The 24,998-nt window shown below is 47.0% G+C and overlaps 1 protein-coding gene and 1 non-coding gene across 3 annotated transcripts in view; both read left to right on the forward strand.

Annotated features, from left to right (window-relative positions):
- Positions 1–23,788, forward strand: part of ALDH2 (aldehyde dehydrogenase 2 family member) — a 50,600-nt gene extending 26,812 nt beyond the window's left edge. For both annotated transcript variants that reach the window (NM_000690.4, NM_001204889.2), the window contains 4 exons: positions 4,334–4,498; positions 6,162–6,319; positions 10,115–10,229; positions 15,799–23,788. In NM_000690.4, coding sequence (NP_000681.2) covers positions 4,334–4,498; positions 6,162–6,319; positions 10,115–10,229; positions 15,799–15,831 — 471 coding nt within the window. In that variant the 3' untranslated portion in view covers positions 15,832–23,788. The remainder of the gene's footprint in view (positions 1–4,333; positions 4,499–6,161; positions 6,320–10,114; positions 10,230–15,798) is intronic.
- Positions 6,090–6,161, forward strand: MIR6761 (microRNA 6761). The gene has a single exon (NR_106819.1). It is a non-coding gene; the product is annotated as a microRNA 6761 (primary transcript).

Raw genomic sequence — 24,998 nt, forward strand, 5'->3', positions numbered from 1 at the left:
CTGGCTAATTTTTTGTGTTTTAGTAGAGACAGGGTTTCACTCTGTTGCCCAGGCTGGTCTCGAACTCCTGAGCTCGGGCAATCTGCTGTCAGGCACCCAGCCTCGGGGTCATTTTTTGTGTTGTACTTACTATGGGCCTAGACAAATGTATCATAATGTGTATGATACCATCATTCTAGTATCATATAAATATATTTGTGCCCTGAAACCCCCGTCCTCCACCTATTCTTCCCTCTTTTCCTCCCCTGAGCCCTGGCAGGCAACCACTGATTTTTTTTTTTTTTTTTTTTTTTGAGACAGAGTCTCGCTCCGTCACCAGGCTGGAGTGCAGTGGCGTGATCTCGGCTCACTGCAACCTGTACCTCCTGGGTTCAAGTGATTCTCCTGCCCCAGCCTCCTGAGTAGCTGGGACTTACAGGTGCATGCCACCATGCCCAGCTAATTTTTGTATTTTTAGTAGAGACAGGGTTTCACCACGTTGGCCAGGATGGTCTCGATCTCCTGACCTCGTGATCCACCCACCTCAGCCTTCCAAAGTGCTGGGATTACAGGCGTGAGCCATTGTGCCTGGCCGATCTTTTTATTGTCTCTATAGTTTTGCCTTTTCCAGATTGTCTTATACGAATCATACAGTAGGTAGCCTTCTCAGACTGGCTTCTTTCTTTTAGCAGTTTGCATTTCTGATTCCTCAGTGGGGAGCCACAGCCATGTCTGAGGATGGACTGGCCTTGCCATGGGACAGGGTTATGTGCCCAACATCCCCCTCTTTGATTTTTTTTAGAGACAGGGTCTTGTTCTGTTGCCCAGGCTGGAATGCAGTGGTGTGATCATGGCTCACTGCAGGCTTAACCTCCTGGCCTCAAGTGATCCTCCTGCTTCAGCCTCCCAAGTAGGTGGGACTACAGGCACACGTCACCACACCTGGCTAATATTCATATTTTTTATAGAGATGAGGTCTTGCTATGTTACCCAGGCTGGTCTTGAATTGCTGGGCTCAAGCAATCCTCCCACCTCAGCCTCCCAAAGTCCTGGGATTGCAGGTGTGAGCCACTGTGCCTGGCCTCCAACATCTCTATCTTTAATAGCTTTATTGAGATATAATTCACGTAGCATAAAATGCACCATTTTAGTGTACGATTCAGTGATTTTTAGTATATTCACAACTTTGTGCAACCATCACCACTAATTCTATAATATTGTCATTGCCTCCCCTAAATATCCTGTACCCATTAGCAGTCACTCCCCATTCCTCCCCCTACCAGGCCCAGGCAACCACCAATCTATGTTCTGCCTATAGATTTATCTATTTTGGACATTTTATGCAAATGGAATCCTACATGGTTCTTTGTGTCTGGCTTCTTCCAAGTAGCCATGTTTTAAAGGTTCATCCATGTTGTAATAAGAATGTATCAGAACATAAAAGGCCAAGTAATATTCCATTGTGTGAATAGACCACATTTTGATTTTTCTATTAATCTGTTGACAGACTTGATTGTTTCCACCTTTTGGTTACTGTGAATAGTGCAGCTAGGGGCACTAACATTTCTTTCTTTCTTTTGAGACCGTCTCGCTCTGTCACCCAGGCTGGAGTGCAGTGGCATCATCTCAGCTCACTGCAACCTCCACCTCCTAGGTTCAAACAATTCTCCTGTCTCAGCCTCCTGAGTAGGTGGGACTACAAGTGCACGCCACCACGCCCTGCTAATTTTTGTATTTTTAGTAGAGACAGGGTTTCACCAAGATGGTCAGGCTGGTCTTGAACTCCTGACCTCAGGTGATCCACCTGCCTCAGCCTCCCAAAGTGCTGAGATTACAGGTGTGAGCCACCGCACCTGTCCTAACATTTCTTTTCTTTTTTTTTTTTTTGAGACAGAGTCTTGCTCTGTCTCCAGGCTGGAGTACAGTGGCACGATCTCGGCTCACTGCAACCTCCGTCTCCCAGGTTTGAATGATTCTCCTGCCTCAGTCTCCCGAGTAGCTGAGATTACAGGCGCCCACCACCATGCCCAGCTAATTTTTTGTATCTTTAGTAGAGACAGGGTTTCACCATGTTGGCCAGGCTGGTCTTGAACTCCTGACCTTGTGATCCGCCCACCTCAGCTTCCCAAAGTGCTGAGATTACAGGCTTGAGCCACTGCACCCGTCCTAACATTTCTTTTTGTCTCATTTCTCTTTGTGGCTAATTATTAAGATAATATAAACTTGCATTAATAAATTTAATGAGAAAGTGTTTAGGCTATGTGTGGCAGCTCACATCTGTAACCCCAACACTTTGGGAGGCTGAGGCAGGAGAATCTCTTGAGCCCAGGATTTCGAGATCAGCCTGGGCACTACAGCAAGACCTCATCTCTACTAAAAAAAAAAAAATGCAAATCATGACCAGCCTGGCCAACACGGTGAAACCTCATCTCTACTAAAAATACAAAAACTATTTGGGCGTGGTGGTGGGCGCCTATAATCCCAGCTACTCGGGAGGCTGAGGCAGGAGAATCACTTGAACCCGGGAGGCGCAGGTTGTGGTGAGCCAAAATCGTGCCACCGCACTCCAGCCTGGGTGACAGAGTGAGACTCCACCTCAAAAAATAAATAATTTTTTTTTTAAAAAAAAGCAAAAAAAAATTAGCCAGATGTAGTGATGCGTGCCTATACTCTCAGCTACTTGGGAGGCTGAGGTGGGAGCCCAGGAGGTCAAGGCTGCAGTGAGCAGTGATCACACCACTGCACTGCTGCCTGAGTGGCAGAGTGAGGCCCTGACTCTTTTTAAAAAAAGGTATTTAATGTAAAAAATAAGACTTTGTTGCATTTCTTTTATTCTCCATTGGTAACCACTCATGCACACACAGTTATGCTGTTGTATGTTTATTTTTTAAAAAATAGGCTGGGTGTGGTGGCTAACCCCTGTAGTCCTAACACTTGGGAGGGAGGCCAAGGTGAGTCAATTACTTGAGCCCAGGAGTTAGATACTAGCCTGGGCAACATAGCAAAACCCCATCCCTACTAAAAATATAAAAATTACCCAGGTGTGGTGGCACACACCTGTGGTCCAGCTACTCGGGAGACTGAGATGAGAAGATACCTGAGCTCAGGGAGATTGAAGTTGCAGTGAGCCGTGATTGTGCCACTGCTCTTCAGACTGGGCAATAGAGTGAGACCCTGTCGCCCTTCTCCCCTACCCTATAAAGGAGTATATAAGTGCATATTGTTCTACAAGCTTTACTTCTTTTTTTTTTTTTTTTTGAGACGAAGTCTCTGTTGCCAGAGCTGGAGTGCAATAGCGCGATCTTGGCTTACTGCAATCTCCACCTCCCTGGTTCAAGCGATTCTCCTGCCTCAGCATGTGCCACCATGCCCAGCTAATTTTTGTATTTTTAGTAGAGACGGGGTTTCACTATGTTGGCCAGGCTAGTCTTGAACTCCTGACCTCATGATCTGCCTGCCTCGTCCTCCCAAAGTGCCGAGATTACAGGCGTGAGCCACTGCCCCTGGCCCAAGCTTTCCTTCTTTTTACAGAGTATCTTGGGCCATCTTTCTGTGTCAGTTAGTTCACAGATCTATTAGTGATGACAATATACTGGATGCACCGTAATAATTTTAACCAACCCCTCTACTGATTTATACTTAGAATTGTTTCCATCTTTTGCCTTTACAAAATGCTCCCCCAGCCTGGGCTACAAGGCAAAACCCTGTCTCTACTAAAAATACAAAAATTAGCCCAGCGTAGGGGTGCATGCCTATAGTCCCAGCTACTCGGGAGGCTGAGGTGGGAGGATCATTTGAGCATGAGAGGCAGAGGTTACAGTGAGTGGAGATCGCACCACTGCACTCCAGCCTGGGTGACAGAGTGAGACCCCATCTCAAAAACAAAAATACAAAAAAAAAAAAATACTCCCTAGTGAATATCCTTGTTCATTTCTCTTTGTGCATATGTAGAATAAATTCCTAGAAGTTAAATAGCTGGGCCAAAGGATCTGAGTATATAATTTTTGAGCAATATTAATAAACCACTTGCTCTAAAGGCTGTACCAGTCTGTCATCCTTCTAACAGTATATGTAACGGTCTCTTGCTATCAGTGTATTTTCTTCCTAAACTTTTTGGTAATCTTATAGTTGAAAAGTAAAGATTGATTTGATGTCCTTTTCTCCGGTAGGCTGAGGAAGTTGGGCCTTTTTTGTGTTTTCTGCTATTGGCCCTGTGTGTTTCCTCTTCTGATCTTGCTTTCTTATGACCTTGGTCCATTTCCCAGTTGTCTTGTTGCCTGCATAATTCTAAGCCTGAAGCCTAGGAGAGGTCTGAATCCGATGTCTCCATAACTCTGGGTTCCTTCTCCCACAGGTGGATGAAACTCAGTTTAAGAAGATCCTCGGCTACATCAACACGGGGAAGCAAGAGGGGGCGAAGCTGCTGTGTGGTGGGGGCATTGCTGCTGACCGTGGTTACTTCATCCAGCCCACTGTGTTTGGAGATGTGCAGGATGGCATGACCATCGCCAAGGAGGAGGTGAGCACTTGGGGCCAGTGCTCTGGAAACATTCTTGGCGGGAGGTGAGGTAAACAGTTCAGCCTGGCATCCTGATGCTGTCACCCATCTGCTGGCTTGGGGCCAGATCTCAAGTTATACCCAGAACCAGTGCCCATAACACGCTATTCATAGTATGTATCTGATCTTGTCCCTCCTCTTCAGCTTGTACCCTCTGTCTGGGAGATCGTCTGCATTCCTCAGCATGGCCTGCAGGCCTTGGTGTCCTGGCCCTCAGAGCCAGGAGTCTAGGAATGACATTGTCTGCTCCTTCCCATGACCTTTTTTCTTTCAGTCAGATTCTTGCTCTGTTGCCCAGGCTGGAGTGCAGTGGCATAATCATGGCTCCTTATAGCCTTGAACTCTTGGGCTCAAATGATCCTCCCACCTCAGCCTTCTGAGTAGCTGGGACTACAGGTGCTCACCACCATGCCTGGCTAATTTTAAAAAAATTTTTTAGTACAGGCTGGGTGCAGTTGCTCACGCCTGTAATCCCAACACTTTGGGAGGCCGAAGTGGGTGGATCACCTGAGGTCATGAGTTCGAGACCAGCCTGGCCAACATGGCAAAACCCTGTCTGTATTAAAAATAAGAAAAAATTAGCCCTGCGTGGTGGCGCTTGCTTGAAATCCCAGCTACTCTGGAGGCTGAGGCAGGAGAATCGCTTGAACCTGGGAGGCAGAGGTTTCAGTGAGCCGAGATCGCGCCACTGCACTCCAGCCTAGGCAACAGAGCGGGACTCTGTCTCCAGTTTTAGCCACGCCTGGCTAATTTTTGTATTTTTAGTAAAGACAGGGTTTCACCATGTTGATCAGACTAGTCTCGAACTCCTGACTTCGTGATCTGCCTGCCTCGGCCTCCCAAAGTGCTGGGATTACAGGCATGAGCCACCACGCCCGGCTTATTTTTTCTCTTCTCGTTTTGAGATGGAGTCTCACTCTGTCGCCAGGCTGGAGTGCAGTGGTGCAATCTCAGCTCACTGCAACCTCTGCCTCCCGGGTTCAAGCGATTCTCCTGCCTCAGACCCTACTAGTAGCTGGGATTACAGGCGCACACCACCACGCCCAGCTAATTTTTCTTATTTTCAGTAGAGATGGGGTTTCACCATGTTGGCCAGGCTTGTCTCCAACTCCTGACCTCAGGTGATCCACCTGCCTCAGCCTCCCAAAATGCTGGGATTACAGGTGTGAGCCATCGTGCCTGGCCAAAAATTTTTTTTTTTTTTTTGAGTAAAGACAGGGTCTCTCTGTGTTTGCCAGGCTGGACTCGAACTCCTAGACTCAAGCAGTTCTCCCACCTTGGCCTCCCAAAGTGCTGGGATTACAGGCATGAGCCACAATGCCCAGCTGACTTAAATTCTTTGACACTAAATCTACGTGTCACGTGTGAATAACATACCTGGCAGGATTGTTTAGAAATGGGATACTGTATGTAAAGCCCGGGGCGCACAGGAGGAAGTTGGCCCCTGTTAGCTCCATTCCCTCTGTGTTCTGCTGAGCTTGATGGCTGTTGTCTTCCCCTGGAACTGTTAGAGCATGGCTGGGGGCTTATCCCCCAATCTGGAATCATCTGTTCTGCTCTGAGAGAGCTCGATGGCAGGTGCCTCCGTGTTGCCGAACCCTCCTACGCTGCTCTCTCACTCCAGATCTTCGGGCCAGTGATGCAGATCCTGAAGTTCAAGACCATAGAGGAGGTTGTTGGGAGAGCCAACAATTCCACGTACGGGCTGGCCGCAGCTGTCTTCACAAAGGATTTGGACAAGGCCAATTACCTGTCCCAGGCCCTCCAGGCGGGCACTGTGTGGTAAGAGCCTCCCAGCAGCCCCTCACAACCCAACAGAGATTCCTCAAAGCCAGGGCCTACTGGAATCTGGTGGTCACCATCCTGGAATTTGGGGAGCTGGGCTCAGTTTCTCCTGGGTCAGGGTGTGATGTCGATTTGAGAGGTCCTGCTACCTCACCTCCGAAGGATCAAGCTTCTCTGTGGTGCAAAGGCCCTGCACCTGAACTTGGCAGGCAGCGGAGTGGTGGGGCTCCTCCCCAGCTGCCTCAGGGCAGGAGACCAGAGCAGAGGGACCCATGATTGTGACACTGATCCTAAAAGCTTAGCCTCTGCTTCACACTTAGCCCCCACTAGGATGGCTATATTTTTATTATTTATTTATTTTTAGTTTTATTTTTTCAGACAGAAAAAAATATTCTACCCAGGCTGAAGTGCTGTGGGGTGCGATTATAGCTCACTGCAGCCTTGAACTCCTGGGCTCAAGCAATCCTCCCACCTCTGCCTCCTGAGTAGCTGGGACCACAGGTGTGTACCACCACACCTGGACAATTAAAAAACATTTTTATTTTTTGTAGAGATGAGATCTCGCCATGTTGCCCAGGCTGGGCTATATGTATATATATTTTAAAGTATTGGTAAGGATGTGGAGAAATCGGAACCCTCCTATGTTGCTGATGGGAATGGAAAATGGCACACTCATTGTGGAAAATAATTTGGGAGCTCCTCAAAAAGTTAAACATGAAGCCCCCATATGACCCAGCAATTCCACTCCTAGGTATTTATCCAAGAGAAAGAAAAACGTGCTCCCACATAAAAACGTGTATATGAATCTTCACAGCAGCATTATTTGTAACAGCCAAAAGGTGAACACAACCCAAATGTCCGTCTGTAGATGAATGGATACAGAATGTGATCTGTCCATGCAATGAAATGTGGCTCAGCCACAGAAAGGAATGAAGTAGCTGTATGAGTCTGTTCTCACACTGCTGGTAAAGACATTGCAGAGACCGGGTAATTTATAAAGGAAAGAGGTTTAATGGACTCACACAGTTCCACGTGGCTGGGGAGGCCTCACAATCATGGTGAAAGGTGAAAAGCATGTCTCACGTGGTGGCAGACAAGAGAAGAGAACTTGTGCAGGGAAACTCCCCTTTATAAAACCATCAGATCTTGTGAGACTTACTCACTGTCACAAGAATAGCATGGGAAAGACCTGGCCCCATGATTCAATTACCTCCCACAACACGTGGGAATTGTGGGAGCTACAATTCAAGATGAGATTTGGGTGGGGACAAAGCCAAGCCATATCAGTAGCCATGCATGCAATAGCATGGATTAATCTTGAACATAACATTGAGTGAAAGAACCCAGACTGTCTGGGTGCGGTGGCTCATGCCTGTAATCCCAGCACTTTGGGAAGCCGAGGTGGGTAGGTCACTTGAGGTCAAGAGTTTGAGACCAGCCTGGCCAACATGGTGAAACCTTATCTCTACTAAAAACACAAAACTTAGCTGGCTGTGGTGGCAGGTGCCTGTAGTCCCAGCTACTCGGGAGGCTGAGGCAGGAGAATCGCTTGAACCTGGGAGGCGGAGATTGCAGTGAGTGGAGATCATGCCACTGCGCTCCAGCCTGAGCGATAGAGTGAGACTCCAAAAAAAAAAAAAAAGAACCCAGGCACAAAAGGCCACATGCTGTGTGATTCCATTTACAGTATTATAAATATCTAGAATAGGCGAATCCATAGAGATAGAAAGTATGTTAGTGGTTGCCAGGGGCTGGGGGAGGGAGGAATGGAGAGTGCCTGCCTCCTGGGCACAGGGCTTCTTTCAGTGTGATAGAAATGTTCTGCAATTAGACAGTGGTGATGGTCACACAACACTGTGAATATGCTGTCAACCAGTGATTGTACACTTTAAAATGGTGAATTTTAGGCTGGGTGCAGTGGCTCACCCCTGTAATCCCAGCACTTTGGGAGGCCAAGGTAGACGGATCACGAGATCAGGAGATGGAGACCATCTTGGCCAATGTGGTGAAACCCCGTCTCTACTAAAAATACAAAAATTAGGCCTGGGCCTGGTGGCTCACACCTGTAAGGCCGTGGTGGTTCACACCTGTAATCCCAGCACTTTGGGAGTCCGAAGTAGGTGGAACATGATGTCAGGAGTTCAAGACCAGCCTGACCAACATGGTGAAACCCTGTTTCTACTAAAAATACACAAATTAGACGGGTGTGGTGGCATGCACCTGTAATCCCAGCTACTTGGGAGGATGAGGCAGGAGAATCGCTTGAACCCGGGAGGCAGAGGTTACAGTGAGTTGAGATCGTGCCATTGCACTCCAGCCTGGGTGACAGAGCAAGACTCTGTCTCAAAAAAAAAAAAAAAAAAAATTAGCCGGGCGCAGTGGTGGGCACCTGTAATCCCAGCTACTCAGGAGGCTGAGGCAGGAGAATCACTTGAACTTTAGAGGCAGAAGTTGCAGTGAGCCGAGATCGCACCACTGCACTCCAGCTTGGCAACAGAGTGAGACTCTGTCTCAAAAAAAGAAAAGAAAAAGGGCAGGGCGCTGTGGTTCACACCTGTAATCCCAGCACTTTGGGAGGCCAAGGCGGGCGGATCACGAGGTCAGAAGATCAAGACCATCCTGGCTAACACAGTGAAACCCCGTTTCTACTAAAAATACAAAAATTTAGCCGGGTGTGGTGGCGGGCACCTGTAGTCCCAGCTACTCGGGAGGCTGAGGCAGGAGAATGGCGTGAACCTGGGAGGCGGAGCTTGCGGTGAGCCGAGATCGCACCACTGCACTCCAGCCAGGGCGACGGAGCGAGACTCTGTCTCAAAAAAAAAAAAAAAAAGAAAATTAAAAATAGGCCAAGCGTGGTGGCTCACACCTGTAATCCCAGCATTTTGGGAGGCCAAGGCAGGCATATCACGAAGTCAAGAGTTTGAGACCAGCCTGACCAACATGGTGAAACCCTGTCTCTACTAAAAATAGAAAAATTAGCTGGGCATGGTAGCATGCACCTGTAATCCCAGCTACTCGGGAGGCTGGAGATTCGCTTGAACCTGGGAGGCGGAGGTTGCAGTAAGCTGAGATCTCACCACTGCACTCCAGCCTGGGCAACAGAGTGAAACTCCATCTCAAAAAATAATCTCAAAAAATAATAATAATAAATAAAAATAAATAAATAAATGGTAAATTTCAAATTCAAATAAAATTTAATAATTTTTTTAAATTGCAAAAAAAAAAAATGAAAGAAAAGAAAAGAAAGCCATCCAGGTGCAGTGGCTCATACCAGTAATCCCAGTGCTTTGGGAGCCTGAGGCAGGAGAATTACTTGAGGCCAGGAGTTCGAGACCAGCCTGGGCAACATAGTGAGACCCCATCTCTACAAAAAATAAAAGATAAAAAAATTAGCCAGGCATAGTGGCACATACTTGTTATCTTAACTACTTGGGAGGCTGAGGCAGGAGGATCACTGAAGACCAGGAGTTGGAGACCAGCCTGGGTAACATAATCAGACCCTGTCTCTTAAAAAAAAATTTATTGCCAGGCGTGGTTGCACGTGCTGGTAGTCCAGCTACTCAGGAAGCTGAGGCAGGAGAATCTCTTGAACCCCAGATGTGGAGGTTGCAACGAGCCAAGATCATGCCATGGCAACTCCAGCCTGGGCAACAGAGAAAGATTCTATCTCAAAAAAAAAAATTTTTTTTTAAGTTAAAAATAAAATAAAGACTTTGGGGCAATACAGGGGGTCCTGGGAGTGTAACCCATAACCCCCAAGAGTGATTTCTGCAATCTCGTTTCAAATTACAGGGTCAACTGCTATGATGTGTTTGGAGCCCAGTCACCCTTTGGTGGCTACAAGATGTCGGGGAGTGGCCGGGAGTTGGGCGAGTACGGGCTGCAGGCATACACTGAAGTGAAAACTGTGAGTGTGGGACCTGCTGGGGGCTCAGGGCCTGTTGGGGCTTGAGGGTCTGCTGGTGGCTCGGAGCCTGCTGGGGGATTGGGGTCTGTTGGGGGCTCGGGGCCTGCCAGAGGTTCAGGACCTGCCGGGGACTCAGGGCCTGCTGGAAGTTCAGGACCTGCTGGGGATCAGGGCCTGCCAGGGATTTAGGGTCTGCTGGGCGGGCCACCTTTTGGCCTCTCCCTCATGCTTGAGGCCATCAGTGTTTCCTACTAATTTCCCATTTTAAGCCTGAGAAGTGACAAGAGAGGGTAAAGACCCAGCCTCTGCTCTGTCCCATGAGAAATACTGAGGGACGTGCCCCCATCAGGCCTATGCGGTCATTTGCTGGGCTTCGTTATACGCCAAGGCCTGTAGGCCTGAGAAGAGGGAGAGACTTCAGGGGGCGGAGCGGAGAGGAAAAGCTTCTAGTAAGAATCTTTTCAGATTTTCACCAGGCGCGGTGGCTTTTCACCGGGCACGGTGGCTCACACCTGTAATCCCAGCACTTTGGGAGGCCAAGGTGGGTGGATCACGAATGAGGTCAGGAGTTTGAGACCAGCCTGACCAACATGGTGAAACCTTGTCTCTACTAAAATACAAAAATTAGCCAGGTGTGGTGGCGTGCGCCTGTAATCCCAGCTACTCAGGAGGCTGAGGCAGGAGAATCGCTTGAACACGGGAGGCGGAGGTTGCAGTGAGTCGAGATTGTGCCATTGCACTCCAGCCTGGGCAACAGAGCGAGACTCCGTCTCAAAAAAAAAAAAAAAAGAAAAGAAAAAAGAATTAGCTATTAGGTTGGAATGGAGCAATTCCCACAGTAATAAAAATATTTAAAAATAAATAATACAAACATAAGCTATTAGGCATGAGATATCAAGGCCCATAACCATATGCATCTCCTTTGATTTGCAACTTCAATGACTGGAATATAGCCTGAAGGACCCATCAGAAATACAAAGAAAGCGTTCCTTCCATAAATATTCATCACTGCTTTATCTCTAAGAGGGGAAAATCAGATGTAAACTTAATGCCCAATAAATTATGGAACACCCCAATCAAGGAGTAACAGGTATCTGTTACAAATGTTTTTGTAGAATATTTGATATGAAAAATGCTTAGCCTTTAAAGTAAAAGCAGTATACAAACTAATATATCATCAATATAAGCCCAATTTTTGGAATTTATGTACATAGATAGATACTCAGATACATTTACTTATAAATATAAAAAAAGAAAGGAAAAACTGGAGCGTGGTGTTGCATGCCTGTAGTCCCAGCTACTCGGGAGGCCAAGGTGGGAGGATCGCTTGAGCCACAAGTTTGAAGCTAGCCTGGAAAATGGGTTGAGCAGGCCTTTCCAGGATTGGAATCACCAGGCTGGAGTGTACTGGTGCCATCACAGCTCACTGCAGCCTCCACCTCCTGGGCTGAAGTGATCCTCGCATCTCAGTCTCCCGAGTAGCTGGGACTACAGGTGCACATCACCATTCCTGACTAATTTTTGTATTTCTTGTAGAGATGGGGTCTCACTATGTTACCCAGGCTGGTCTCAATCTCCTGGGCTCAAGTGATTCTCCTGCCTTGGTCCCAAAGTGCTGGGATTATAGGCATGAGCTACCACACCCAGCCTGGCTCTCAGTTTTGTAAGTCGAAAAACTTGGACAGGCCAAATTGAAGAGTCATGTTCGCCAATTTCATAAGCGATTAATTTGGCAATGTAGCAAGATACCATCTTATTAAAAACAAAATGGCCGGGCGCGGTGGCTCACGCGTATAATCCCAGCACTTCTGGAGGCTGAGGTGGGTGGATCACAAGGTCAAGAGATCGAGACCATCCTGGCCAAGATAGTGAAACCCTGTCTCTACTAAAAATACAAAAATTAGCTGGGCGTGGCGGCACATGCCTGTAGTCCCAGCTACTTGGGAGGCTGAGGCAGGAGAATTGCTTGAACCCGGGAGGTGGAGGTTGCAGTGAGCCAAGATTGCACCACTGCACTCCAGCCTGGCGACAGAGTGAGACTCAAAAAAAAAAAAAACAGGCCGGGCGCAGTGGCTCACACCTGTAATCCTAGCACTTTTGGAGGTTGAGGTGGGCAGACCACGAGGTCAGGAGATCGAGACCATCCTGGCTAACATGGTGAAACCTCGTCTCTACTAAAAATACAAAAACAAAATTAGCTAGGTGTGGTGGCAGGTGCCTGTAGTCCCAGCTACTCAGGAGGCTGAGGCGGAAGAATGGCGTGAACCCAGTGGGTGGAGCTTGCAGTGAGCCAAGATCGCACCACTGCACTCCAGCCTGGGCGACAGAGCGAGACTCCGTCTCAGGAAAAAAAAAAAAAGAAAAAACAAACAAACAGGGAAATATACACTGAAGTGAAAATGATTTACTGTGAATACTAATTATAGTTTAACCAGAAAACATAAACACAAGTGATGTTTAAGGAAGAGGCAAATGGGTTGAGCTAGCCTTTCCAGGATTGGAAAAGAGGAGGCTCAGGGCAAGCCTGCCAGCTGTGGAGCAGGTGAGAAAAGGCAAACGGGACTCATTCAGGGCCACAGTGCCAAGCCTGAGACTGGAGAGGCCGAGGACACAACCTGTGTTCCTGAATAGCTCACTGGAATCAACTAAACGTGTTTACTTGTTTAGTGTGGAAACTTTCCAATCTATGCAAAGAATAGGTATAATGGTAGAATGAGGCCAGGAGTGGTGGCTCATGCCTGTAATCCCAGCATTTTGGGAGGCCGAGATGGGCAGATCACTTGAGGTCAGGAGTTCGAGACCAGCCTGGTCAACATGGTGAAACCCCATCTCTACTAAAAATGCAAAAATTGGCCAGGCTGGTGGCATGTGTCTGTGGTCCCAGCTGCTTGGGAGGCTGAGACAAGAGTTGCCTGAACCCGGGAGGTGGAGGTTGCAGTGAGCTGAGATCGCGCCACTGTACTCCAGCCTGGGCAACAGAGCAAGACTCTGTCTCAAAAAACAAACAAACAGACCGGGCATGGTGGCTCACGCCTGTAATCCCAGCACTTTGGGAGGCCGAGGTGGGCGAATCACAAGGTCAGAAGATCCAGACCATCCTGGCTACGGTGAAACCCCATCTCTACTAAAAATACAAAAAATTAGCCAGGCGTGGTGGCGAGTGCCTGTAATCCCAGCTACTTGGGAGGCTGAGGCAGGAGAATGGTGTGAACTCGGGAGGCGGAGCTTGCAGTGAGCCGAGATGGTGCCACTGCACTCCAGCGTGGGAGACAGAGCGAGACTCTGTCTCAAAAACAAAACAAAACAAAACGGAAAAAAAAAAACAGTAGAATGAGCCTCTGTATCCCCACCATAAAGCTATGACAAAGATCAGCTCACAGCCAGTCTTGTTTACTGTATACCCCACCCACTTCCCAGTGGGTACACTTCATCCACTGCCCGAGCAGAGTCCACAACAGCAGGAGGTGGCCATGTGGGTGGACAGCCTGTGCTGGGCTTTGAGTTATGACATCGGATAAAAGGTCCAACTTCAGTTGGTGAGTCTTAAATCTTGGCACATGACTAGTGTTAAGGAGGCGATGTCCAGGATGGCCACGTGACAGGGTGGTATCTAAGCTGATATACCTGAAGGATGAGTGGAAGTAGAGATGGTGAGGGGAGGAAGAGAAGAACGTACTAAACAAAGAGCATAGCTTCTGGAAAAGCTGTGATGGCGAGAAATATGGCTCTTCCAGGAACTGCAGGAAGGTTGCTGGTGGTGGAAGATGTAGTGGTTAGTGGGGAGAGAGCAAGGCCAGAATGCACAGGCCCTTGTTGGCCATGATGTGGGGTTTGATGTCTTTGATAATGGAGTTTGATCTCAGCTATGGGAGCATTTTAAGTAGAAGAATTAGGTGGCTCAATTTTTTTTTTTTTTTTTCTGAGCCAGAGTCTTGCTCTGTTGCTCAGGCTGGAGTGCAGTGCTGTGATCTTGGCTCACTGCAACCTCCGCCTCCCGGGCTCAAGCGATTCTCATGCCTCAGCCACTTGACTAGCTGGGATTACAGGCGCCTGCCACCACACCTGGCTAATTTTTTGTATTTGTAGAGATGAGGTTTCACCCTGTTGGCCAGGCTGATCTCGAACTCCTGGCCTCAAGTAATCTGCCTGCCTCGGCCTCCCAAAGTTCTGGGATTACAGGTGTGAACCACTGTGCCTGGCCCACTCAATTTGTATTTTTAAAAGATTGCTCTGCTTAATCTATAGAGACAGAAACTTATTACTGGTCATCTAGGGCATGGGGAATGGGTAGTGGCTGCTCATGGGTGCAAGATTGCTTTTGGAGATGATGCAGATGTTCTAAAACTGGAGTATGGTGATGATTGCACAACTTAAAATATTCTAAAAGCAATTACACTTGATTGTGCATAAATCATATCTCAAGAAAGTTGTTTAAAAATTTAAGAAAGCGGCCAGGCGCGGTGGCTCACGCCTGTAATCCCAGCACTTTGGGACACTGAGGCAGGTGAATCACCTGAGGTCAGGAGTTCGAGACCAGCCTGACCAACAAGGTGAAATCCCTTCTCTACTAAAAACACAAAAATTAGCAAGGCTTGGTTGCAGGTGCCTGTAGTCCCACCTACTCGGGAGGCTGAGACAGGAGAATTGCTTGAACCTGGGAGGCAGAGGTTGCAGTGAGCCGAGATTGCGCCACTGCACTCCAGCCTGGGCAACAGAGTAAGACTCCGTCTCAAAAAAAAAAATTTAAGAAACCTCACTCTGCTTGCCCTAGGGAGAATGGACCATCCAGTATGAGGAGGGATGAGGGAGCTGTCAGGAGACTGCTCCAAGGAGAAAGATGGTGGTTTGGATTGGAGTGGTGCAGTGCAGGTGGAGAAAAGAGGGTATATGTGACAGGAAGCCAGGAGTAGGATTGGCGACTCTGGATATAGAGAGGAAAAGCAAAACTAGGAATCAAAGATGGCACCCAGGTTTCCAAGGAGGGGTTGAGTGGTGACGCCAGTCCTGTGATAGGGAACACTGAATGAAGTACTGTGGTTCTCTTTAGGGTTGTGTTTGGGGTACCTGTCCAAACCCAAGAGGTGATGTGGAGAACACATCTAGGGAGATGGGCTTGGAGCTCCAGGGGCAAGACCCAGATTTGAAATAGAAATTCTGACATCATTGGCCTATAACTCTTCATCAAAATCATAGTTACAGGCCACGTGCCATGGCTCACGCCTGTAATCTTAGCACTTTGGGAGGCCCAGACAGGCGGAACGCTTGAGCCCAGGAGTTCAAGACAAGCCTGGGCAACATAGTGACACCCCATCTCTAATAAAAATACAAAAAGTTAGCTGGGTGTTATGGTGCATGCCTGTAGTCCCAGCTACTTGGGAGGCTGAGGTGGGAGGATCGCTTGAGCCAGGAGGTCAAGGCAGTAGTGAGCTGTAATTGCACCCCTGTACTCCAGTCTGGGGAGAAAAAAAGAAAAGCCCTTTCTGCTCACACTTAGTCAGCTCCTAGCTGAGGGGACCTACAGATCACAGGGAAGCAGGAAGATCTAACGGCTTCTCTGTCCCCCTTACAGGTCACAGTCAAAGTGCCTCAGAAGAACTCATAAGAATCATGCAAGCTTCCTCCCTCAGCCATTGATGGAAAGTTCAGCAAGATCAGCAACAAAACCAAGAAAAATGATCCTTGCGTGCTGAATATCTGAAAAGAGAAATTTTTCCTACAAAATCTCTTGGGTCAAGAAAGTTCTAGAATTTGAATTGATAAACATGGTGGGTTGGCTGAGGGTAAGAGTATATGAGGAACCTTTTAAACGACAACAATACTGCTAGCTTTCAGGATGATTTTTAAAAAATAGATTCAAATGTGTTATCCTCTCTCTGAAACGCTTCCTATAACTCGAGTTTATAGGGGAAGAAAAAGCTATTGTTTACAATTATATCACCATTAAGGCAACTGCTACACCCTGCTTTGTATTCTGGGCTAAGATTCATTAAAAACTAGCTGCTCTTAACTTACTGGGTAACTCTTTGTCCATCTCAATAACCAAAGGAAGGTGGGCATGGTGGCTCACGCCTGTAATCCCAGCACTTTGGGAAGCCGAGGCGGGTGGATCACTCGAGGTCAGGAGTTTGAGACCAGCCTGGCCAACGTAGTGAAACCCTGTCTCTCACTAAAAATACACAAATTAGGCAGTCATGGTGGCTGGCACCTGTAATCCCAGCTACTTGGGAGGCTGAGGCAGGAAAATTGGTTGAACCTGGGAGGTGGAGGTTGCAGTGAGTGGAGATCATGCCACTGCACTCCAGCCTGGGAGTCAGAGCGAGACTCCATCTCAAAAAAAGTAAATAAATGAAATAGCCTAAGGAAATGCTGGCAGGCAGTAATGATATGGCACACTGGATATGATTTCTGCCCCTCCTCTGCTGTGGGTAAACAGCTTCTGTTTCATGCATTTACTTTTTTATTTTAATTACACCAATAAGAATGTGCTTGAATGTTTCATGCATTTAATTTGTTTCATGCATTTAACTTCTGGCCTGTTTACCTGTAGCAGGCTCTGAGATGTGCTCTAGAGACAGAACCTAAACATGATGCCCAAGAGAGGGGAGAGATACTGAATGTCCAATGTTCTCAAATTTTTTTTTTTTTTTTTTTTGAGACAGGGTCTTGCTCTGCCATCCAGGCTGGAGTGCAGTGGCACGATCATAGCTCACTGCTGCCTCGACCTCCTGGGCTCAAATGATCCTCCTGCTTCAGCTTCCTGGGCTAATGTTTGTATTTTTTGTGGAGATGGGACTTTGTTATGTTGCCCAGGCTGTTTTCAAACTCCTGGACTCAAGTGATCCTCCCGCCTTAGCCTCCTAAGGTGCTGGGATTACAGGTGTGAGCCACTGTGCCCAATTCAGTTCTCAGTAAAAACTTGATCAGGCCAAATGAAAGTGACATGGGCCAATTTCATAATAGATTGATTTGGAAACCAGATGTCAATTTACTTACTTTAAGTGAGATCTGTATCTTCAGTAACCAGACCTCTTGAGTCTCCCACCCAGAACACTATCTTCCTCTAGTCAAGATACCTGGCAAAGGCCGGGCACAGTGGCTCACGCCTATAATTCCAGCACTTTGGGAGGCCAAGGTGGGTGGGTCACCTGAGGTTGGGAGTTCGAGACCAGCCTGACCAACAGGGAGAAACCCCATCTCTACTGAAAATACAAAAAAAAAAAAAAAAACTAGCCGGGCATGGTGGCTCATGCCTGTAATCCCAGCTACTCAGGAGGCTGAGGCAGGAGAATTGCTTGAACCTGGGAGGCAGAGGTTGCAGTGAGCCAAGATTGCTCCATTGTACTCCAGCCTGGGCAACAAGAGAGAAACTCCGTCTCAAAATATAAATAAATAAGAAAAAGAAGAAATGGAAGCTGGGTTCAAGAGGGCAATCAGCAGTCTCTACCATCATGTGAAACACCACTCTGTGATTTGAGTCTTGACAATGTATTTTCTTTTTTTTTTTCTTCTTTTTTTTTTGAGACTGAGTCTCGGTCTGTCGCCCAGGCTGGAGTGCAGTGACGTGATCTTGGCTCACTGCAACCTCTGCCTCCTGGGTTGGAGCAATTCTCCTGCCTCAGCCTCCTGAGTAGCTGGGATTACAGGTGTGCGCCACCATGCCTGGCTAATTTTTGTATTTTTAGTAGAGACGGGGTTTTGCCATGTTGGCCAGGCTGGTGTTGAAGGCCTGACCTCAGGTAATCCACCCACCTCTGCCTCCCAGAGTACTGGGATTACAAGTGTGAGCCACCGTGCCCGGCCAACTGTAGGGACCAGCCCCACAGGGTCGGTGGGTTTTTCTCCCCATGTGCGGAGACGAGAGATTGTAGAAATAAAGACACAAGACAAAGAGGTAAAAGAAAAGACAGCTGGGCTTGGGGGACCACTACCACCAAGAGGCGGAGACCGGTAGAGGCCCCGAATGTCTGGCTGCACTGTTATTTATTGGATACAAAGCAAAAGGGGCAGGGTAAAGAGTGTGAGTCATCTCCAATGACAGGTAAGGTCACGTGGGTCACGTGTCCACTGGACAGGGGGCCCTTCCCTGCCTGGCAGCCAAGGCAGAGATAGACAGGGAGAGAGAGAGACAGCTTACGCCATTATTTCTGCGTATCAGAGACTTTTAGTACTTTCACTAATTTTGCTACTGTTATCTAAAAGGCAGAGCCAGGTGTACAGGATGGAACATGAAGGCAGACTAGGAGCGTGACCACTGAAGCACAGCACCACAGGGAGACGGTTAGGCCTCCGGATAACTAATGATTAATGATATTCATATATAATCATGTCTGTGATCTAGATCTAGTATAACTCTTGTTGTTTTATATATTTTATTATACTGGAACAGCTCGTGCCCTCGGTCTCTTGCCTCAGCACCTGGATGGCTTGCCGCCCACAGCCAACAATGTGTTTTCAATATGCTCCCCAAACTACAGCAAACTCCTCTTAACTCGGGATTTAGGGTGATGCCCTACTTATGCCTAACTTTATCACCAGCTTAACCCTCATCTCATTATATAGGATGATATTACTTCTAGGAAGATTTTCTATGTATGGAGGGTGCATCATTTAAGAGTATTTTAGGCCAGGCACTGTGGCTCATGCCTGTAATCCCAGCATTTTGGGAAGCTGAGGTGGGTGATTTGCTTCAGCCCACGAGTTCAAGATCAGCCTGGCCAATATGGTGAAACCCCATCTCTACAAAAAAATACAAAAATTAGCTGAGCGTGGTGATGTGTGCCTGTGGTCCCAGTTACTCTGGAGGCTGATGTGGGAGGATCACTTGAGCCCAGGAGGTCAAGGCTGCAGTGAGCTGTGATTGCACCACTTCACTCCAGCCCAGAGTGAGACCCCATCTCTGAAAAAAACACAAAAAACAAGAAAAGAATACTGCAAAGAACCTTGGTAGGGGTGAATTGGAAAAAGTAGAGAAATGTAATATTTCTTTCCTGCTGTACTCACTGTAACTGTGAGAGGATCGGCTCTTTTAACCAACAGATAAGAAAGGAAATATTAGCTATGAAGAAATGTCTATCAAGTTGATTTTGACAACCTAGACACATTAATCTCCTTGCACTTTTAGTGACAGGAACCCATTAGAACCTTAAGCAGCTGTCTGAAGTAAAAACAAAGCTCTCAGGTGATGAACCACCTAATCTCCCTGGGTATTCGGATGTGGGTCAGTCACAGGAGTATTAGGTGTAAAGCCGCTGCTTCTGGGTAGAGCCTCCACTTGTGGCTGCACAGAGGGCACAGAGAGCTTTTCCTTCAGCCCGGAGAAGCTTCCTAAGTGTGGGCGCCACCTTGTGGGACATACATTGAACTACGACGCTATTTCTCCAAGAATTAACAGGACAGCCCCTCCCACCGGTGTCCTTCCAACGATGTTGCATACAATTTGGCTGTACATTTGGCAGGCAGTGTAATGAGGGAATCAAAGACCAGGATCACATACTGGAAAGAATTGAAAACAGAGACTCCCAACAAAAACTTGTACACGGACGTTCACAGCAGCACTATTCACGACAGCTCAGAGATGGAATCAACCCAAATATCAGTCAATAGATGAATGGACAGACAAAATGTGACATATCCATGCAGTGGAATATTATTTAGCCATAAAAAGGAAGGAAGTGCTGATGCATGTTGCGATGTGGATGAACCTTGAAAACATGATGCTGAGTGAAAGAAGCCAGACACAAAAGGAGAAGGACTGTATGATTTCACTTATAGGAAATATCCAGAACAGGCAAATCTATATAGAGAGAAGGTCGATTGCTGGGGGCCCTGGGAAGGGACCAAGGGGGAGTGACTTCTAATGGTGGGGTGCCCTTTTGGGGTGATGAAAATGTTTTGGAACCAGATACAGGTGGTGGTTGTACAACATTGTGAATTTACTAAATGCAACCAAATTGCTCACTTAAAAACAACAAATTCAGGCCAGGTGCAGTGGCTCACACCCGTAATCCCAGCACTTTGGGAGGCCGAGGTGGGCGGATCACATGAGGTCAAGAGTTCGAGACTAGCCTGGCCAACATGGTGAAATCCCATCTCGGCCGGGCGCGGTGGCTCACGCCTGTAATCCCAGCACTTTGGGAGGCTGAGGCGGGTGGATCACGAGGTCAGGAGATCGAGACCATCCTGGCTAACACGGTGAAACCCCGTCTCTACTAAAAATACAAAAAATTAGCCAGGCGTGGTGGTGGGCGCCTGTAGTCCCAGCTGATCGGGAGGCTAAGGCAGGAGAATGGTGTGAACCCAGGAGGCGGAGCTTGCAGTGAGCCGAGATCGCGCCACTGCACTCTATCCTGGGTGACAGAGTGAGACTCTGTCTCCAAAAAAAAAAAAAGAAACCCCATCTCTACCCAAAATACAAAAATTAGCTGGGCATGGTGGCTGGCACCTGTAATCCCAGCTACTCAGGAGGCTGAGGCAGGAGAATTGGTTGAACCTGGGAGGCAGAGGTTGCAGTGAGCTAAGATCGCACCACTGCACTCCAGCCTGGGTGACAGAACGAGACTGTCTCAAAAAAAAAAAAAAAAAAAAGTGGCCAGGTGGTGCCATGGCTCATGCCTGTAATCTCAGCATTTTGGGATACTGAGGCGGGTGGATTACCTGAGGCCAGGAGTTCGAGATCAGCCTGGCCAACATGATGAAAACCCATCTCTGCTAAAAATACAAAAAATTGGCTGGGCTTGGTAGCATGTGCCCAGCTACTTGGGAGGCTGAGACAGGAGAATCGCTTGAACCTGGGAGGCAGAGGTTGCGGTTAGCCAAGATTGTGCCACTGCACTCCATGGGTGACACAGAGAGACTCTGTCTCAAAAAAAAAAAAAAAAAAGTAAATGCTATGTTATGTGAATTTCACCTCAACTGAAAAAAACAGGGTCCCAGAGCTGGTCAGGGGAACTTGGACAAACCACACAACTTCTGAGCTTCCATTTCCTCACAATCTCTGCAGTCACTTCCAACTCTCATTTGGCTTATTCTGTGAAGGATAAAACAGAGCTGACATTTGTTCATTTGTATTGATTTTATTTACATTTTTCAAAAGGAAATAGATGCAGATGGTATAGAAAGTTTCAGTGAAATGTAAATCTGATGCCCAATCCTGTGGCCCCAAGAAGTATTAACTGTGCACCCACTACATGCCAGGAACTGTACTTGGAGCCTTCTCAAGAGCTTCTTAACAATATTTTCATTTTTTATATTTTTTAATGACAGGGTCTAACTCCGTCGTCCAGGCTGGAGTGCAGTGGTGCGATCATAGCTCACTGCAGCCTCTACCTCCTAGGCTCAGGTGATTCTTCTGCCTCAGCCTCCCAAATAGCTGGTACTACAAGCATGTGCCACCACAGTCAGCTAATTATTTTTGGAGAGTCAGGGTTTCACTATGTAGCTCAGGCTGGTCTTCAGCTCCTGGCTTGAAGTGATCCTCCTGCCTTGGCACATAGAAGGGGTTACAATATACATATATTAGAGTGAGAGCATAGATGTGATGCCTGGCGATATGGCTTACTTATGAGACAGCACCTGACCTACAGCCATCTATGACTCCTACTGTATCTTCCATGCCAGGAGTAAGGGTGAGGATACCTGGCAATAATAAAAATAATAACCTGAGAGTCTAATGGCTTATTTTTTGTAGAGATGGGGTCTCACTGTGTTGTTTAGGCTGGTCTTGAACTTCTGGGCTCAAGTGATCCTCCCACCTCAGCCTCCTGAGTAGCTGGGATTATAGGCGTGCACTACCATGCATATATATATATATTTTTTTTTTTTTTTGAGAGAGAGAGAGAGAGATGGAGTCTTGCTATGTTGCTCAGGCTGGTCTCGAACTCCTGGCCTCAAGTCATCCTGCTGGCTTGGCCTCTCAAGTGCTAGGATTACAGGCATGAGACACTGGGCACAGCCCTAATAGCTTATTTTTAAAGCTATATCAAAATGTCATGCACCTGAACATTTGAAGTAACCTCTCTGATAGTACGGATATTTATCCCCTCAAAATCTCATGTTAAAATGTAATCTTCAGTGTTGGAGGTGGGGCAAGGTGTGAGGTGTTAGGATCATGGGGGTGGATCCCTCATGAATGGCTTGGTGTCCTCCCCCATGGTAATGAGTTCACTCAAGAGCTGGTTGTTTAAAAGGTGACGTGGACCTAATCCCTGTTGGACTGAACAAAAGGGGACGAACACAGCAATAAAGATAAAGACCAAAGAGTATATTTGGAAGAAGGGGTCAGGGGGCTCCTTGCTTCTAGTGAAAAAGGGCCCTGAGCTTTAGTGCCCTTTGTATTTATTGGGTAAAGGAGATAGGGAGAAGGGGGGGTGGTTGTCGGTCAGCAGCTTGATTCACAGCAGGCTCACAAGATTGCATTCTTTGAACAGTAGGCTCTAGATGTCTCAGTAGATAACCTCAAAGAGCATGGCGCCAGGGAGTGATTGCCCTCAGCGAACCTTCTGGCGGCTGAAGCAGAAGTGAGTTTGCCCACATTCTGCATTTATGATAAACAGTTTGCTGTTTGATCATATAGCCTCAGTGGAATGCTGAGTTGGTCACAACCCATGGGCATTCAGCTCTCTACATTTCCCCCTTTCTGTTTATGAATTAATTGAAAGAATGTAAGGCCAGGCTGGGCAGCTCTCATTTTCTGATTGGCAGTCCATCCAATTTTACAGACTATGAACAGAAGACAGAGACAAAACAACATTATTCCAAGGACTACATATAAGATGTTAATGTGGTGCTTTAGACAGGTCCAAGGGTTGAGGCTCTCCAGGCCTTGCTGGAATTTGGTCTAGTCTTCTAAAGAAGGCTGAAACTCTTGAGTTTGTTTATTTAAATCAAGAATTTTGTTTTGTAATTCACCGATATCAAAGGTGATGTTGGATGTGCAAGCTCCCTGCAAATGGGCTTTCACAAGGTCCCATGGATACTCACTTTGGTTATATTCTAAGTTGGTTACACAAATATGAGTGTGATTAAAATGATGGTGCAATTGCTGTTGCAATTGCAAGCTTTGTACTTGTTCTCCTAACTGTAGAGCCGTGGATTTCAACAATGCCACTTCAGTTTGTAACTCAGTGTTAATTTTATTCTGAAGTGGCCATGCTTGGTTGGCTATACGCATCCAGTTTTCCATGTACTGAGTTGTTTGAATAGAACTATGCAAAGCTACAGAGGACATCACAACGGAAGTTATTAATGTGACCAAGGAAACAATAGCAAAAATTATCATGCCTAAGGCTCTATGGGCACAATGAGTAAGTTGAGTTAGAAGATGTTTCATGAAGTGCAAAGCAGGTGTGGTAGCCCAAGGCTGGGACAGATTAACAGGAATCCATAGCCCAGGGATGCGACCCAAAATTATCAAAGTAGAGACATTATGTGTTTGCAATGTGCTATGATTAATGCAGTGACATAACTGGCAAGATTTACAGGTCAATTGGATATTGTTTACCTGGAGCTGGTCCTTCTTAGTTGCCAAAAAAGACATAAGGATTAAAAAGACAAACCATAAATTGAGTGGTGATATTCTTTACAAATGTAACATTAAGACTGTGTTGCTTACTATTGCTATCACTGGATAGTATCCCGCCATTCATAAATGGGAGTGCTGCCTTCCATAACATCTCTTGGATTGGTCCTTTCCTCCCTAGATAATGCCACTGAGGAAGAGGCGGGCTAAAGCCTGCTCCATGTCAAGCAATCTGGGTGGCAGACTGGGATTAGATCCCGGTGTGGTATAAAGAAGAAGCATTAAAATCTTGCCACCAATGCCAGCGAAGTTTGTGCCATGATTTCTGATTTTCATGTTTTCCATATAGTTGACCTTTAGGTCCCCAATCCACAATGTCTCCAGTTAACATAGATTGTTTTCTAGCCAGTGGGTCAAGACATTGGGTCCATGTCTTGGGGGGTAGTAACTATCGAAGGGAATCCATTCCATATAGTCAGCACGATTAGGGTGATTGGGCCGGGAATGGTTGGTTAGCACACCTGTTACATTAATAGAACCAAGACTTAATAGGCACATGACTTTTCCATAATGACTCAACCATTCTTGAGCTTGAATTATAAGACAGCTACAGTTAAGCGATGTCTTTGTAGTGATACACAAGGGGAGTCCTTCTAGTGGGGTGGTATAATTAATGACATTGTTCTGAGAGTCTAACTGTTCTATTTTAAGGGGAGTTAGGGGTCCTGGAGCCCATACTTGCTGATCACGATAAATCTCAGGAGGAGTGTCACTCCAAAGCATAGGTTGTACTACTAGGGGATTGGGAACATATGCCCAAAATGTTTTTGCCTCTGCACAGGGAAAACATACCACACAGGACATTATGGCTAACATGGCCAAGAACATGGAATCAGGGTGTTTTGCCTGGCTCTGATGCTCCAGTAGTTTCCCAGCTTCCTGAGTGGTATTCTTGAGTTGCCCCCAGGTTATGGGGGTTGATGTCGTCATGACTCCGGTCGGCCTTCTCTCCATCTTTGCACTCTGGCTCAGCTGGCTCATGGCTCATACCAGAGGGACCAGGCCCATAGTTGGCCACCCTGGGTTCCTCTAGTCTCCCGTTCCATGGTCACATGCACCTTGAGGGCACCCACACGGCTTGTCCATCTCCCATAAAAACACAAGCATACCCTCATCCCCACGTCAGTAAATCCAACAGACCTTTCCATTGTCTTTTTTCCGGGGGATTTCAATAACACTTTCGGATAAACTTT

Source organism: Homo sapiens, chromosome 12 (assembly GCF_000001405.40).
Source record: "Homo sapiens chromosome 12, GRCh38.p14 Primary Assembly".
NCBI lineage: Eukaryota > Metazoa > Chordata > Mammalia > Primates > Hominidae > Homo > Homo sapiens.